This window comes from Homo sapiens, chromosome 7, assembly GCF_000001405.40.
Source record: "Homo sapiens chromosome 7, GRCh38.p14 Primary Assembly".
Lineage (NCBI taxonomy): Eukaryota > Metazoa > Chordata > Mammalia > Primates > Hominidae > Homo > Homo sapiens.
The window spans coordinates 46525421-46541603 of record NC_000007.14 but is presented as its reverse complement, the minus strand read 5'-3'; the positions used below and the strand labels follow the sequence as shown (position 1 = coordinate 46541603).

Below are 16183 nucleotides of genomic sequence, written 5' to 3'. Positions count from 1 at the left end.
GCTCAGGAGTTCGAAACCACCCCAGAAAACATGGCAAAACCTCATCTCTATAAAAAAAAAATACAAAAATCAGCGAGGCGTGGTGGCATGCACCTGCAGTCCCAGTTACTTGGGAGGCTGAGGTAGGAGGATCACTTGAGCCTGTGAGGTAGAGGTTACAGTAAGTTGAGATCATGCCACTGCACTCCAGCCTGGATGAGAGAGTGAGACTGTCTCAAAAATAAAAAAGAAAAAGAAAAATTTAGACATACTAAGAAAAGCCAAGAGTACAGAATTAAGTTATACTGCAGGAAAATATTGCTTTTCTGGACACTTTAAGATAAAACATTTTATTATCAGACCACAAAACAGTAAAAACTAAAGGAAAATAAATTACAGAAGCTGAAGAAAAAGTTGAAGGACAGAGTTACTATCTCAGCCCTTCTCAAGGAGAGAAAAAGCTGAAAGCAGCAAAGGAACTTCTGAGATATGAATCTGAAAGGTTTTAAAAAGAGACAGTCTATAGAATTAAAAAGCAAAACCTCTTGTAATTTTATTAAGAGCAACTTAATTCCTTAAGAAAACTTTGTTTTAATACAAGGGACCAATCTTCAGAAAGACTATTGTATAGATAGATAGATAGAGCAATCAACAGATAGATCAATAGATAAATTTTAAAATTATAGCCAAGTTAATTTTAGAAATGTTTTTCATAAATAACTTTTTAAGTCGATAGTTTTAATTTATCTTCAGATAACTTTTGAATTAGACAAACTTATTTTAAATAAGAACATAATGCATAAAATTTTTATAATTAATTTTGTATTAAAACATGTTTTTTGTTAACCATTTTTAAAGCCTGGGAACATCAGATGTTCACCAAAGTAGAATCTTAAAGTTAAACACATGAGCGTTTTGCTAATCACTCAGAACATGTAGCTGTTTTTCTTAATAATATTAAATTAGCTTTATTTTTGTCATGGGTTTGTAGCTATGAGCTTTTTAATCATCCAAGATATGGCCTCACAAGCTCTTAGGTGGAATAGAAATTGAGCCACCCATTCTCAGGGTAGAGAACAGAAGAGCACAAACACAGAGAGATCAAAGCAAACAAAGGAAGTCCTCTCAAGCAAATTCCTATAGAGGGAGACTGGAAAGTTAATAAATTGTAATTCAAAGCAATGGGTACCACAAACGAACTATGTTAGGTCCAAATGGCACAAAGCTCAAAAGGCAGACAGGATTTCTGGTAAGCACACCAGTTCAGCTTCTGCAGTTCTGAGGCCTGTCGGCTTCCCAATCCCCATTTTCTTCACACCAGTGCAGTGTTGAAGGCAGCTGATACCACAGTGGGGAGACAAGGGGACTCCCTCAGAAAAAGAGTTCTCGGCAGCTGTTGGGTCATTCCTAGAATCCCAGCCATCAGGTCAGCTGGCCAGGAGCAGCAATCATGAGCAGTTTTTGCTTTGCCCAACAGCATGAACAGGTAAGCCTTGGCATGCTGCCGCATCCAAATGCTCCTTCTGTTGGATACTGGGCAGGCTAGATAGCCTGAGGCATGTAGCCCCATGCTGGGCACCTGGCTATTGTAAGCAAACTCAGGATTGGCTGCTCACTGCTTGAAAAGCCACATACAGGACAACCAAAGCTGGGTGGAAGCAAAGCAGCTTTATTCAAGTGCTAGCCACTTAGAAGACGGCCAGAATCAAGTCTCAAAAAGCTATCTTGAATTCTCAGGTGGGCTAAAGGAGCCTTAAAGGGAAAGGTAGCACGGAAACAATGTGCAGGAATGGTGTGAAGTGTAGGTTTGCTTGTCATTTTTTGATGATAGACTTGAGTAATGGACCATCCAGAGACCTGGTTGGTTTTATCTCACTAGGGATCCAGTTATGGATGAATTGTGCATTGATTTCTTTTGCAAAGGGAGAAAATTGCTATCAACATCTCTGCTTCATGCCTGGATTTTTCCAAGATTAGCCTTTAGAATTCTCAAGCAAACAGGTAGTTAGATATATGTGCGGCAAGAAATAAAGTGAGAGAGGTGATACATTTGGAGTACGCTGGCAAACTGGCTATGCCAGTTACATAAGTGGTTATTAAATGAATGAAGGCATGAATGAATGAAGTTACCCAACATTTAGGCTTCTCCTACATTAAAATAAAATATATATATATATATATATATATATTATATGTATATATTTTATTTTAATCCTACATTAAAATAAAATATATATATATATATATTATATGTATATATTTTATTTTAATTAGAGAGCTTTGAAATCCTTTTTTTTTAGCGTAAACACATAGACAATATATTTAGGCTTGATTTCTTTCTAGAATAAAAACTATCATCGATTTCCTAAAATATGGCAAAATGCTAATTGAAAAATAGTCCCAACATTATTTCCTATTTAAAATTACTTAAATATCTTAAATATTTTAATCACTTACTTAGCTATTCCATTTTCCTTATGTAAATTTGAAATAGCTTTGAATAAAAACATACTACAATTTTTAGACAATTATACATAAGTAAAGGTAAAATGGGATAAAATGTAACTAGTGGCTACTAATTTTTGAATGAACATTAGTACATGGCATTATTGTTGCAACTTCACATTTTCAAAGAATTCCACAAGGTAGACATTTTGCTGCCAATTTATACCCCAGAAAATTAAGGCTTGCCAGGCTTCGCAACTGTACACCAATTACAAGTGGCAAACTGCTATAGGGTAGTGTCCTGCCCTTTCTACCACAGGCACCCTCTCCCCACATCATGAGGAAGAATCAGCAACACACATGAGATGCAGACCACAAAATTTCACTGAGCTTCAATGCAGACAGGAAAAAGAGGGGAAAAAAACGCTTATTATATAGTATTTCCCCAAGAATGTTTTATAGAACTCTAAACCTGAAAAGTTGTTTTGTATTTCAAAAGAAAGAGTTTTCTTGGCTAAAAAAAGTTGTCCTCAGAGCCTGCATTTTCCAGAACTTCACAACGTACATCAGAGTGCTAAAGGCTTGGTGCTGCTTTCCAGTTACATCACAATTAACTGTATTTATCCAGGTTTTCCCAAATGTATTTAACCACAGCGCCTTTTGAAAAACAAAACAAGGGGCGGGCGTGGTGGCTCATGTCTGTAACCCCAGCACTTTGAAAGGCCGAGGTGGGTGGATCATGAGGTCAGGAGTTCGAGACCAGCCTGGCCAACATGGTGAAGCCCCATCTCTACTAAAGATACAAAAAATTAGCTGGGTATGGTGGCAGGTGCCTGTAATCCCAGCTACTCTGGAGGCTGAGGCAGGAGAATTGCTTGAATCCGGGAGGCGAAGGTTACAGTGAGCCGAGATCACGCCATTGCACTCCAGCCTGGGTGACAGGGCGAGACTCTGTCTCAAAAAACAAAACAAAACATCTTAAATCTCTCACAGAACTAAAAATAAATTAAGCAAATTTAATTAAATGCTGGCCAAGTAGGAGGTGTCACACCAGGTCACTAGTAGAAAAAACTTTTCCTGGCAATGAGTTCTGGGTGGATTTTGAATGGTTCCATAAATAAAGTGCATTAGATAATGTATATAGTAGAAATTTTATTTAAAAGAATGCAAAAATATGCTGCGACATATTGTTAAATCTACATGTCATAAATTCTTAAATCATAACTCAGTGGAGACAGGTTTAAGAGGACCAAAGTAGCATTAGTCAGATCTATAGTTTTGGAGTATACTGACTTTTAAATTCCATTTGTCAATTAGAGAACAATATTTTCTTCCCAGACTACAGAGCATGATATACTTGGCATATGTGAATTTCCATTCAAATGGAGCCTGCCGGGCATCTGCTGATTCACTTTGGTTTAATGATACCCCATTGGTTCAAGGGGGAAAATGTTTATGGAAATATTCCCTTCTTACCATCTTTCATCAAAGTTCACTGGGCTCCAGAACAAGCTGCCATCCAAAGACTTCTAAAACAGAAAAGTATCATGTGTGGTTTGTACTCGTTTCAGAGACGTGATGATGGCATTCTCTTTGAAGTACATATGAAGTTGTCAATTAGCTGGAGATGAGTTTTGCAGAACATGTTTCTGGATTATCCAGTCCAAAAACATCTTCAAAAATATTTTAGTTATTTTGATGGATTCAAAATACTTCCAGTATCTTTTCTAATTCCACACCAGTTTTCTGACTCAGCCCTTCCACTTGGTAGAAGAGAATGTAGTGAAAACTGAAGCATGTTTGAATGCTGTGAGTTTCTAATTTCGAAAATAGCTATTCCCCTGCAGAGATCTCCTTCACATTTCCCACAAGGAAGTTTGAGACTCTGGCTTGGCACAGCACACCACTGTGCATGAACGTCCTGAAATGGCATGTGCCTGAGATTCTGTTAATCTACCATATCCATACAGATGGGTGTTGTTGAACTGTCTTGGTGAGAGACAGGACTAGCTGGATTTCCTAGGTCGACTAAGAATCCCCAAGCCTCGCGGGGAAGATGACCGCTTCCACCTTTAAACACAGGGCTTGCAATTTAGCTCACACCTGACCAATCAGATGGTAGAGAGAGCTCACTAAAATGCTAATTAGGCAAAAACAGGAGGTAAAGAAATAGCCAATCATCTATCGCCTGAGAACACAGCAGGAGGGACAATACAATGATCGGGATATAAACCCAGGCACTGGAGCCAGCAACGGCTACCCTCTTTGGGTCCCCTCCCTTTGTATAGGAGTTCTGTCTTCACTCTGTTAAATCTTGCAACTGCACTCTCTTCTGGTCCATGTTTGTTACGGCTCGAGCTGAGCTTTCACTCGCCATCCACCACTGCTGTTTGCTGCCGCCACAGACCCGCCGCTGACTTCCCTCCCTTTGGCAGGGTGTCCTCTCTGCTCCTGATCCAGCGAGGTGCCCATTGCCGCTCCTGATCGGGCTAAAGGCTTGCCAATGTTCCTGCGCTGCTAAGTGCTGCGTTCGTCCTAATCGAGCTGAACAGTAGTCACTGGGTTCCACGGTTCTCTTCCATGACCCACGGCTTCTAACAGAGCTATAACACTCACCCCGTGGCCCAAGATTCCATTCCTTGGAATCTGTGAGGCCAAGAACCCCAGGTCAGAGAACACGAGGCTTGCCACCATCTTGGAAGCGGCCCAACACCATCTTGGGAGCTCTGGGAGCAAGGATACCCAGTAACGTTGGGATATATCTAGGCGTTGTTCAACATAGAGCACAAGTGCTGAAACTCCCCCTTTAGCTGGAGCTGAGCAGGTTCTGCACAAATTATTTTTGGTACAAGTGAAAGAGTGAAGGTCAGTTATTGGGTTATATTAGTTTGTCCTCACATTGCTATAAAGAAATACCTGGATCTGGGTAATTTACAAAGAGAAGAGGCTTAACTGGCTCACAGTCCTGCAGGCTGTACAGGAAGCATTACGGCATCTGCTCCGCTTCTGGGGAGGCCTCAGGAAACTTACAATCATGACAGAATGCAAAGGGGGAGCAGGCAAGCCACGTGGTTGGGGCAGGAGCAAGAGGAAGAGAGGAAGGTGCGGCATATTTTTAAATGACCAGATCTCATGAGAGTTTCACTCATTGTCATGAGGACGGCACCAAGGGGATGGTGCTAAATCATTCATGAGAAATCCACTGCTGTGGCAGATGTCCAGTTTCTGTGAAAAATAAGTCAAGGCTTCATCTTTCAAAGACTGGCTTGAGTTCATTCATTTTTTCGTACATTCTACAAACATTTATTCAGCACTTACTGCATGCCATGTACCGGGTTAGGCACTGGAAATACAACTGATGAATGAGAAAGCTGGCCCTTAATTTCAAAAAGTTTACAGGCTAGTGGAAGTACAGTCAGGCAAACTGGCAATTTTAGTCCAGGATGACATATTTTAATCTCTAGACAAGATGATGGACTGAGGTGGCTTTCAAGGGGAAAGGAAATCTAATGTGGGAAATTGAAGCTTGAAGAATGAGCAGAAGAAAGCCCAGGACAAAGACGACCATGTGCGTAGACAGATGGGGGTGGGGAAAAGGGGAGATGTGGACACAGACACACATGCAGAGAACACCATGGACAGCTGAAGGTAGAGACATGAATGATGTTTCTGCAAGCCATGGAACACCAAAGATTGCCCAAAAACCCACCAGTAGCTAGGAGACAGGCCTGGAGCAGATTCTGTCCTCAGGGCCTCAGAAGGGAGCCAATTCTGCTCACACCCTGATTTCAGACTTGTTGCTTCCAGAACCGGGAAAGAATAAATTTCTGTGATGTCATGCAGGCTGTGATACTTTGTTATGCAGCCCCAGCACACTAATACAGTTGTTAAATGCATGTGGTTCTTATTCTTCTGTCTAAATGTTTTTCCACTCTTTCTTTTGTGTATGCAATGCCCACCCTTTCTTAATCTGTTGGAAAATTCCTCTTCATCTCCAAGATCCAGCACAGCATCTCTTCCCTGAAGCACTCACCAGCCCACCCCACACAGAGCCAGGCTCTCTCTTCTGTGTTCCCAGTGGACTTAGTACAGCCTCTGTGAATAGCACTCCACAGACACCCTCTGTTGTCATGATTGCTGTCTTTGTCACTTAAGTGATCTCCTGGGGGGTAGGAGACAAAGCTTGTTTTCTCTATCCCTAGGCTTGATCTTAGAGCATGATGAAGTGTTGACCCCAGGAAATGTGCATTAGATAAATGATTTGGAAATTCATGAGATTGTTTTCTCTTCCTTTTCCATAACATATTGACCAGGAGATTTTCAAAGGGCACAAAGATCATCTCCTATAACAGGCCATAAAATGCACTGTTTCCCTGTGGAGGTCACTGGCGGGTCATGATGCCTCCCTGGGAACTTTATTATTTCAGTTGAGATCAGACGTCACTGATGAGCGAGTGGAATGTGAATGCGTGTGTTGCTTCTGGTTCGCTGCCACTGCCTCACTCCCTGCTCACTTGCAGTTTAATTATATATTTTTCTCCCTCAACTTCAATGAAACAAAAAGACAAACACAAGCACTTAAGGGAGGCAATTGCTGATGGTGATATTATAATTGGCTAAAAGAACAATTTGTTTCTTTAGGAAAGACTATGCATAAGGGAGATTTTGAAGAAAAATTGGTAGAGTTTGGTAAATAATTGTATATAAATTCCAGATGGGGTCAGGTCTGTCTCAATGTGTTCAACTACTGGTGCTTTCAAGAATATTGGTATGGTACCCATACAGAAGACACCACGGCATGCACATCTCTTCCAGAGAAGTCCTGGTCCAGCTTCCTGAATAATCAGCCTAGCTGTCTCTGATGCTTCAGCCACACAAGGCCACCCAGCTGCTCTGGGCTTTTCCTCTTGCTGCATGCCCCTTTGCTTAATACCCTTGCCTTCTTGGCTATCTGAGAACTACCTACGTATCACACACTCTCTCACCCAGCCCTAAATGTCACCTCCTTTTGCTACATTTCCCTCTTGCTCATCTTTCCTGAGTAGAATCCTCCCTTGCCAGCCTCCCGTGCTAGCATGCCATGTCATACACCAGGCTACAGGTGGACTGTTCACCCACTTCTTTCTCCATCTCACCCTCCAAAGTTCTGAAAGAAGGGAGAATAGGCAAAAGAGACAAATATAATTTAAAAATAAAAAAACCAGCTTATTGCAGATAACGCTGATGGACAAAACCACTAGTTTTCTTGCTTCCTTCCCACTAGAGAGAGTACACATAGTCAATCTCAGAATAACTTCCTCCAAGCGGCTGAGCCTTGGTTTACTGCTAAGAAGGTAGGAGTGAAAAGATCAACAGGTCCACCTAGAAGTCAGGACATCCAGAAATTCTGGGGAGATTTTGCTTTCCCACAAGATAAGCCATTTCTCAACCTTCTCTCACAAGAATGAGATGCTGCATGAGGGACAGAAGAAAGACGCTTCCATTCTGGTGTGGGGTACATAGGCTCTTAGCCCTTTAAAGGTTTGCTGAAAATCACTGACATGAGGCAGATTGATTAATCGGAGAAAAGGCATACAAATGTATTCAGTGTGTACATACAGGAGCCATCAGAAGGAAGATTCAACTTCTGAATGAGTTACAGAAGCTTATATTCCATCTTAAGGTTACAGAAAGAACAGTGGCTCAGAGCATGGCCAAAACCAAGTTCAGTGGTAAATCAGGTTTAGTGGCAAGACAGGTTATGAGAGGGAGTAAGGAAGAGGCCTGGCCAGCAAAGGTGGATTTACTGTGCAGATGAAGCTTCCTGAGAGAGGATAGATGGTAAATGTTTCTTTTTAGACTTTTAAAGATGTCAGATGTCTCAGTCTCTCTAGATCTGGGTAGTGCCTAGAAAGGGGAGGCCTGGCTGCATTAACAGAGATTCTCTACGGATGAAATTTTCCCCCACCTCAGTCTGCTGGCCCTGTAGCAGCCATTTCAAAATATATCAAAAAGGGATATTTGGGGTAAAATATTTTTATTTCCTTCACTGGCAATTTGAGAGGGAAGAGTTCTAGTTTTATAAAAAAGGGCAGAAGGGCAGGGTGAGATAAGCTCTTTCTTATAGCTTAGTTGTTATTGTCTATTTTCCCCCAAGCTTATAAACTCCCCAAGGATGAAGACAATATCTGTTTTACTCATGGATGCATTAACTTAATTCTGAATAAGCATTTCAATAATTCTTTGTTAAATGAACATGTGAATAGGAGCCAATGGTCAGAAGTGCCCAAACATGCCCTCCAGAAAGAGAGTGTGGAGGGACAGGTTCAGAGAGATGAGGAAGAACATAGCAAGAATCAGTGGCATTTACCATCCCAGTGGCATTTACTCATGAGACAGTAAGTGAGTCAGGATATCTTGGAGCTGACAAGGGTTGTGCCTGATTCTAGAGCCTGTGGAAGTGAGACAAGAATAATACAGGATAGTTGCAGGAGAATAGAAAATTCCAGGCCACAGTTTCCCAGGACTAGCAAAAGGAAACTGTTAAAATAGCTTCAGAAGCTCGGGGCTCATCAGACCTTGAAAAACCAGGGTGTGGACCAAGCCGGCTAAAACTGGACCCAACAGGGCATTGGATTTGATCTAGGTTTCTCCTAGGACCTCATGATATGTTCAGTAACATAATTACACACCAACCATGCCATTATAGTTCTGGGAACACACATATTTGGTATAAGAATGGATGGGACAACAGTTCTGAGAAATTTCCACTTTTTTCCAGGAATCTTCATGAATATTTGACCCCTTGGTTACAGAAACCCACAAAGACAGCAGCCCCAAAGTCCCTTGTGAGCAACTTTCTTGAGTACATCTGCCCTCTCCTTTCTTGAGTGTGTACTTTTCACTTTGTGAAACATTTCCATACTTCTACTAATTTCTGATCCATTATTGAATTCCTTATGATGGTGGTGTTAAAAGACTGGACACCAGCCAGGGTTGAGGTCCATCAGCATTTGGGGACTCCCCTAGCTCACCAGTATCACAAGGGCTAAGCTGAGTGAAAGAGAAAGGTCTTGGGATGTACATATCTCCAATGTACCTAACTCAGTTACATCCTGTTAGGGTCCTTACATATGCACCATGCCTGGATCCATTCCATGTGTTGGAAACGGCCTCGAGAGGCAAATTGTTTTGGTCATTATCCTCTAGCTTTCTGAAGGAATAAGTACAAGTATGAGTTCTCCCTGGGCTCCTCAGCTAGGATAGACACCAATAATATCTAAGGAGCTTATTACAAAATGTGTGGCTTGACCTCCTCTCAGGCAGGACCTGCAGATGAGGACCTTCGGGCCACCAAGGAGGAGGGGTCCTGCTTTTGGGCTTCCTGAGGGTCTGTGACACAGGGGAGTGCTATCCCCACATCCCTTCCTGTGTCAAGGACACTTACAGACTGCAGGATTCTTTCTTTTAAAAGTTGATTGTCATTTCTTTTAGAGACTTATTGTCAATATAAGCTGCTGTCTTCCTGCTTCTCCCTGTAATCCTCAGTATCCTCTAACATAGGGAAACTAATGTCATATTTGCCTACCTGATTATGAGACTGGAAGGAGATCATGTATTGGTAATCACCATGGGAATGCAAATGGTTATTCAAGGTTTCTGTATACAAAAACTACATTTTTAGAAAGGGGAAAGAGTGCACCAGTGATACACACTTGTTCTATTCTATAAAATTTCTCATCAAAATCATCTAAACATGAGTTTCACTGTACTATTTTGTGGCATGATAAAGCAGACTTTCCCCTCCAAAGGCCTCAGCAACAGGTCAAGTCAGGTCCAGAGGAGAAAAGAGAAGAGCGTGGGTTCAAGTTTTAACTCTGCTGTAACTCTCTGTGAGGCACTGGCCAAGCTCATGATTCGTCTGCTTCTCCACAACTGTACATCTCAGGGAGGAGGGAAAGGAAGTCATAGTGAACTGGGCCAGTGGTGTTCAGGGACTTACCAAGAAACCTGGAATGCCTGGAGAAATAAGGGACAGGGGAAGGAGTTTGGTGAGACTTCAACCCAAGCTCTGAAGCAAGAAAGCCCTGGAAGCTCTATCCTTATTCGTTTTGTATATTGGCTCCTAGACAAGGTTCTGTTTATATCAAATGTTCTGGCTGAAACTATCACCAACAGTTTCAAACCGTTCAAGAAGATGTAGATGATCTCTAGGAGGTACATTAGTCTCTTAGATGCAACAGAAGCCAAATTTAAATCAGCTCAGACAGAAAAAGTGATTTGTTATCTCGAAGTTTCCATGGACAAAAAATCTAGGCACAGCATGGCTCACTGCTTCTCTGCACAAGGTCAAAACCAAAGGTGTTGGCTGCATCACATTCCCTTTTGGACGCTTTGGCAAGAATCCACTTCCAAGCTTATTCAGGCCGTTGCTGATTTCAGTCTCCTGTGGCTGTAGGACTGAGGTTCCCACATTCCTGGCTGTTAGCTAGGAGCTTCTTCCAGCTCCTTAGCCCTTAGCCACCCACATTCCTCATCACACTGGCCCTTCTATCTTCAAATGGGAAACGTAAGTGAGCTATCTCTCTCACTTTTCCTGCCACATCAGTTGGCTTCCAGCCAGAGAAAATACTTTTCTCATAAGGGCATAGGAGATAAGATTGGACCCACCTGGGTAATCCAGGATACTCTCCCTATTTGAAGTTACCTTAGTAACTTGTACAAAGTCCCTTTGCCATGTATTATATCATATTCATATTCACGTTCCAGAGACCCAGATGTAGACATCTCTGGAGGGCTATTTGCCTACCACAAGATCATACTAAACTTATGCTCAACATTCACTAGGGTGGCACTTGGGATCTAGAATAACTCAGCTTTATGGAACTATAAATAGCATTGATTGCCAGGCCACTGTTTAGCTGTAATATCTATTCTGTTCAAGATAACAGGCAAGACCTTCCAAGGATGGAAAGCTTAACTGATAGCAAGAAAGTCTGCAGCATGCCTACCAGGGCTGCCGCTTTCTGTTATCTTCCCACTCTCCAAGGGAACAATGACAGTGAAAAAAATCACGGTTGATGTCTGGGTGTGGTGGATCATGCCTGTAATCCCAGCACTTTGTGAAGCCAAGATGGGTGAATCACCTGAGGTCAGCAGTTTGAGACCAGCCTGACCAACATGGAGAAACCCCATCTCTACTAAAAATACAAAATTAACCAGGCATGGTTGCTCATACCTGTAATCCCAGCTACTCAGGAGGCTGAGGCAGGAGAATCGCTTGAACCCAGAAGGCGGAAGTTGCTGTGAGCCGAGATCGCAACATTGCACTCCAGCCTGGGTAACGAGAGTGAAACTCCATCTCAAAAAAAAAAAAATAAAAAATAAAAAACCAAAAAAAACAGTTGATTAACAGGATTCCTGGCAACATGCTAAACATGTCAAGAAACTGGGAAAAAATATGAAATAAGATAAATAATCATAACCATCAGGACCGAAAGAAAGATAAGGGACACTCCAGCCAGTAGAAACTGAGAAAAAAACATTCAAATCTGGGGGATGAGTCCTAGTTAACACTGTTACCAGAAAGCGGTCCCAATTCAGACTCCAAGAGAGGGTTCTTGGATCTCGCATATGAAAGAATTTACAATGAGTTCACAGAGTAAAGTGAAAGCAAGTTTATTAGAAAAGTAAAGGAATAAAATAAGAGCTGCTCCATAGGCAGAAAAGGGTGTACCCAAAAGTAAGATACCGAATGCATCCATCCTAGGTGCAATGCTTGTTTATGTAGAAGACAACAACAACAAATGGGACAACCCTTGTGCTCCACTACAAGGGTCTGTGATGAAGGATTGGTAATCTTTGTAACTTCTATTTTTTGCAAGAATTGATATTATCTTTAAAGTGAAACTTATTCTTAAACTAGGAATGCTTTTGTTCTTAAGGTATCAGGGCATCAGGATATTTCCCAGGTCTGTTAAGTTCTGCGTCTGTTTATTATTATTATTAATCTGTTCCCCTAATCTTAAATGTCTTGTGACTAAGAATGCCTAACTTCCTGGGAATGCAGCTCAGCAGGTCTCAGCCTCATTTTACCCATCCTCTATTCAAGATGGAGTTTCTGTGGTTCAAATGCCTCTGACATATTTTTCTTTTTCCCTTTTACAAGGGGATCTTTAATTCTAAGGGTTGCAGAGGGATGAATATCCATTTTCCGTAAACTCTTCAGGCTGAATAGGGGTGATGATATTGTTGCCTAACTATTAGGGTTTTTTGTATTCAGGGTAGAGAGGAGTTCAGTCAGAAAGCATCCAGATGGTGAGGGCCATCAATAACTCTGAATCCTGACAAAATGTGATAACTGGAAGATTAATAAGTGTCCAATTTAAGAAAACATTGAGTAAGCCTATCTTGCATTCCTACACAAAGAGTGCAAGAGCAATATATTCCACCACAGTAAAGCAAAATAAGTAAAATAATCCCAAGTGAACTAAATAAGAAGGCTTTCCATAAACTAGGCAATTGTTAGAACCAAGCTGATATGGAGTGAAGCCAATTCCAATACATGCCCAAAGCACTTGATCCAGATTTTTATGTTACATGTTCCTTTTGTTTCTTCTGAGTAGCAGCCAGAGATCACTGGTTGTTTCACAGGAATAAGCAGGATCAATCTAAATTGTAGAAAAAAGCTCAGAAACAACTGACAAGACAAGACTAGAATGTAATAACAGGTGCAGTTTTTGAAACATTTTTTTCTCTCTCCCCAGTCCCCATTTTTATTAAAAACAAATCATGATAGGACTGATTTGTTTGCAAAATAAATTTTAGTCTTATTATACTTAGGTTATTTGTATAAAGTGCAGCAAGAATAATTATTTGCCATATAGGCTCCTTTATAAATTGTCTTTGATGGAACTTTATTCCATAAGGAATCTCAGATTAGACATTTAAAAGCCTTGAACCCATCCATGGGTTTATCTGTGCCTGCAAATACTTGTAAGAGTTAAGTAAGTTTCTGTCCTCTCAAGGTCCCAAGTTAACTTGGGGCTGATGGGCTTGTCAGAAAGTGACACTCTTGCTGGGAGTGGTGGCTCCTGCCTGTAATCCCAGCACTTTGGGAGGTTGAGGCGGGTGGATCATTTGAGGTCAGGAGTTGGAGACCAGCCTGGCCAATATGGTGAATCCCCATTTCTACTAAAAATACAAAAAACAGCCAGGTGATAGTGGCTCATGCCTGTAACCCCAGCTACTCAGGAGGCTGAGGCAGGAGAATTGCTTGAGCCTGAGAGGTGGAGGTTGTGGTGAGCTGAAATGAAGCCACTGTACTCCAGTCTGAGTGACAGAGTGAGAAAACCCTGCAAAGGGACTGTGTAGATAAGATATGAGGCCAATTTTCCAAAGGAGCTGTTTTTGGCTCTATAAGTTAACTTTGATTCCTTAAAGCAGTCTGTTTGTATTTGAAAGCATGTCATTCCAGTCAAAGCTTTGCTAAAATAGTCAGTTTCTCCAGTTGTGTCCTCTTACAAAATAAAACAGATTCTTACTGCACTATGCAAATAACTATATTGTTATCAGTTGAGAATACTCACAAATAGTTTCCAGACTCTGGAGAAATTAGGTACAGAGAAATAAATTTGCTCCAAATTTCATTTATGGGACTCAATTGTTAAAAGTTGTAAGAACTCAAAAGAAAAGTTTTCTTGACTCTGAAAAACAAAACCAAATGGATTAGCAACTTTTTAAGCAAAAAGTCATCCATGCTATTACATCCTGTTTTGCTTGATATTTATGAAGATGTTTTCCAAGAGAGTCTTGGAAGTTCTTTCCTCTCTATTTTAATGGCACACTTTCTAAAGTTATCAGAGACCTGTATTTAAGAGTACTTGTCAGAGTCCTGTAGCTGATTATAAATCACCTTTGAGAGAGGATCAAAACAAGACAGCAATTGTCTGTAGATGATAAAATGTCTTAGGGAAGCCATGGTTAAAGACACAATTGACTTTTGATTTCTTCTGTGGGAATTTTGTTTTTTCCTGTGGTGTACAACAATTTTACATAATTATCATTATTACTGATAACATACACTAATATCAGAATTATATAACTTTCCCATAATATTGGAACACATACCAATAATGTATTTCTATAAATACAGCCCAAAGAAAGCCCAACACCATTTTGTATTTGACAGTGCATTCTGTATAATTTTAACATGCCAAATAAGCTAAGTATGTCATTTTTGGACTTTTGGGCACCTAAGATCTTAAGGGTTAATCAAGTCAGAAAAAGACATAACTTAGAATTTGATTTTGGAAAGTTTGTCAACTTGATTATCAAAGGTTTAAAACACTTGATACTCAAAAATAAAATCCCAGGTCACCCTAAGTCATTTATTTATTCAAAATGGTAACTCAAAGATTTTAGAAAGGCCTTTACTCACTGATAGAAGGAAGATTCAGCTTTCCAAACAATTTCTTTTTTTTCTTTTCTATTTTCTGTAGCGTATTCAAAAGCCAAACAAAAATCTTTCTTTTTTTGTATTACGTAAAAATATACTTCAAGAGAGAAAGCCAAATTTCACCTTTTGCATTAGTGTACAATTAAGGTCAAATTCTATCCTTAATGAGACCTATAGACGAAGTATCCAGGCTTAATCAGTTTGGCCATAAGGTAAGATTCTCTTAAACCTTTTACAATCCTTTACATTTTTTTTGCTAAGGAACAGATCAATGAACACCATGTTGTGTTGATGTTCAATTTGCAGAACAAATCAATAGTATCCTTTTAACTTTAGAGAATATATTCATACATATAATTTCTTTTATAAGAGTAATCTTTCATGAACCACTCAAACCTTTGGCTTTATCCTGTCTAACCTAAAACAATCCTTTAACCTTCTAAACCAGGCAAAAGAAAAAAAAAACCTACATTCTTACACTTATTTTTTTTTCACAGAAAACACATTCTAGTTTTCTTATACACCATCATGTAAAACTGTTCTTTAGTAGTCTCGGTCACGTACGTTACAATGATAACTCTTAGCAACTTTCATTTTTGGTGAAAAACCTGGTAGGTAAGCTATTTCAATTATGTACCAGGCATGGAGCCAAGGATACCAGACGGAAGTACAAATACTCTTTTCAGCATAGCCAGGGGGCGTGGCTAACTCCACATGTCCCCAAGCCTTCTTTAGAATCCAACAGTTCCCAATGAGGTAAGTTGAAAAATTATCAAGTCAAAGATACAGTTTATGTAGTTTTAGTAAAAACAGTATCTGTCCTGCCTAATTTAGACCAAATGTGTAAGTTTTGAACACATTTTTATTTTACCAATAATGTTTAAAACTCTTTATTTATTAAATATCACTAAAGTCACGTGAATTAAGAAGCATTAAAGTTTTTATTGTTTTGACAAAATATTTGATTTAAGCACTTATTTTTCTTTAAGCAAATTAATTAGAGCTCATTTATATAAACATCAAACACACAACACATATAAATAAACAGACAGAAGAAAATCCAGTAGTTGTAAGATTTTTAATTTGCCAGTTTTAAGTTTCTTAGTTGGATTACCGGCTTCAGTGTGGAGCCCTACAAGGAACAGGGCCAGGAAAGCATGCAGTTTTTAGGGCCCAATAAGAAGACACAACTGGAAGGCAAAACAGATCCCCCAAATTAAGGGTATCATTTTATAACAGGTCCTAGATCCCAACCAAAAAAGAGGAAATCAGCCCATCCCTCAATGGAGTCTTATCACAGTGGGGGGTGGAGATTTTTTCATG

General features: G+C 40.2%; 3 annotated features.

The window, feature by feature from the left end:
* Positions 4366 to 4865: an enhancer, noted in NCBI's record as "H3K4me1 hESC enhancer chr7:46576337-46576836 (GRCh37/hg19 assembly coordinates)". NCBI's record gives its function as "activates a minimal SCP1, AML or CMV promoter by ChIP-STARR-seq in naive H9 embryonic stem cells {active_cell/tissue: H9 hESC(naive)}" and the evidence as "EXISTENCE:reporter gene assay evidence [ECO:0000049][PMID:30033119]".
* Positions 6047 to 6602: an enhancer, noted in NCBI's record as "OCT4-NANOG hESC enhancer chr7:46574600-46575155 (GRCh37/hg19 assembly coordinates)". NCBI's record gives its function as "activates a minimal SCP1, AML or CMV promoter by ChIP-STARR-seq in naive and primed H9 embryonic stem cells {active_cell/tissue: H9 hESC(naive and primed)}" and the evidence as "EXISTENCE:reporter gene assay evidence [ECO:0000049][PMID:30033119]".
* Positions 6603 to 7159: an enhancer, noted in NCBI's record as "OCT4-NANOG hESC enhancer chr7:46574043-46574599 (GRCh37/hg19 assembly coordinates)". NCBI's record gives its function as "activates a minimal SCP1, AML or CMV promoter by ChIP-STARR-seq in naive and primed H9 embryonic stem cells {active_cell/tissue: H9 hESC(naive and primed)}" and the evidence as "EXISTENCE:reporter gene assay evidence [ECO:0000049][PMID:30033119]".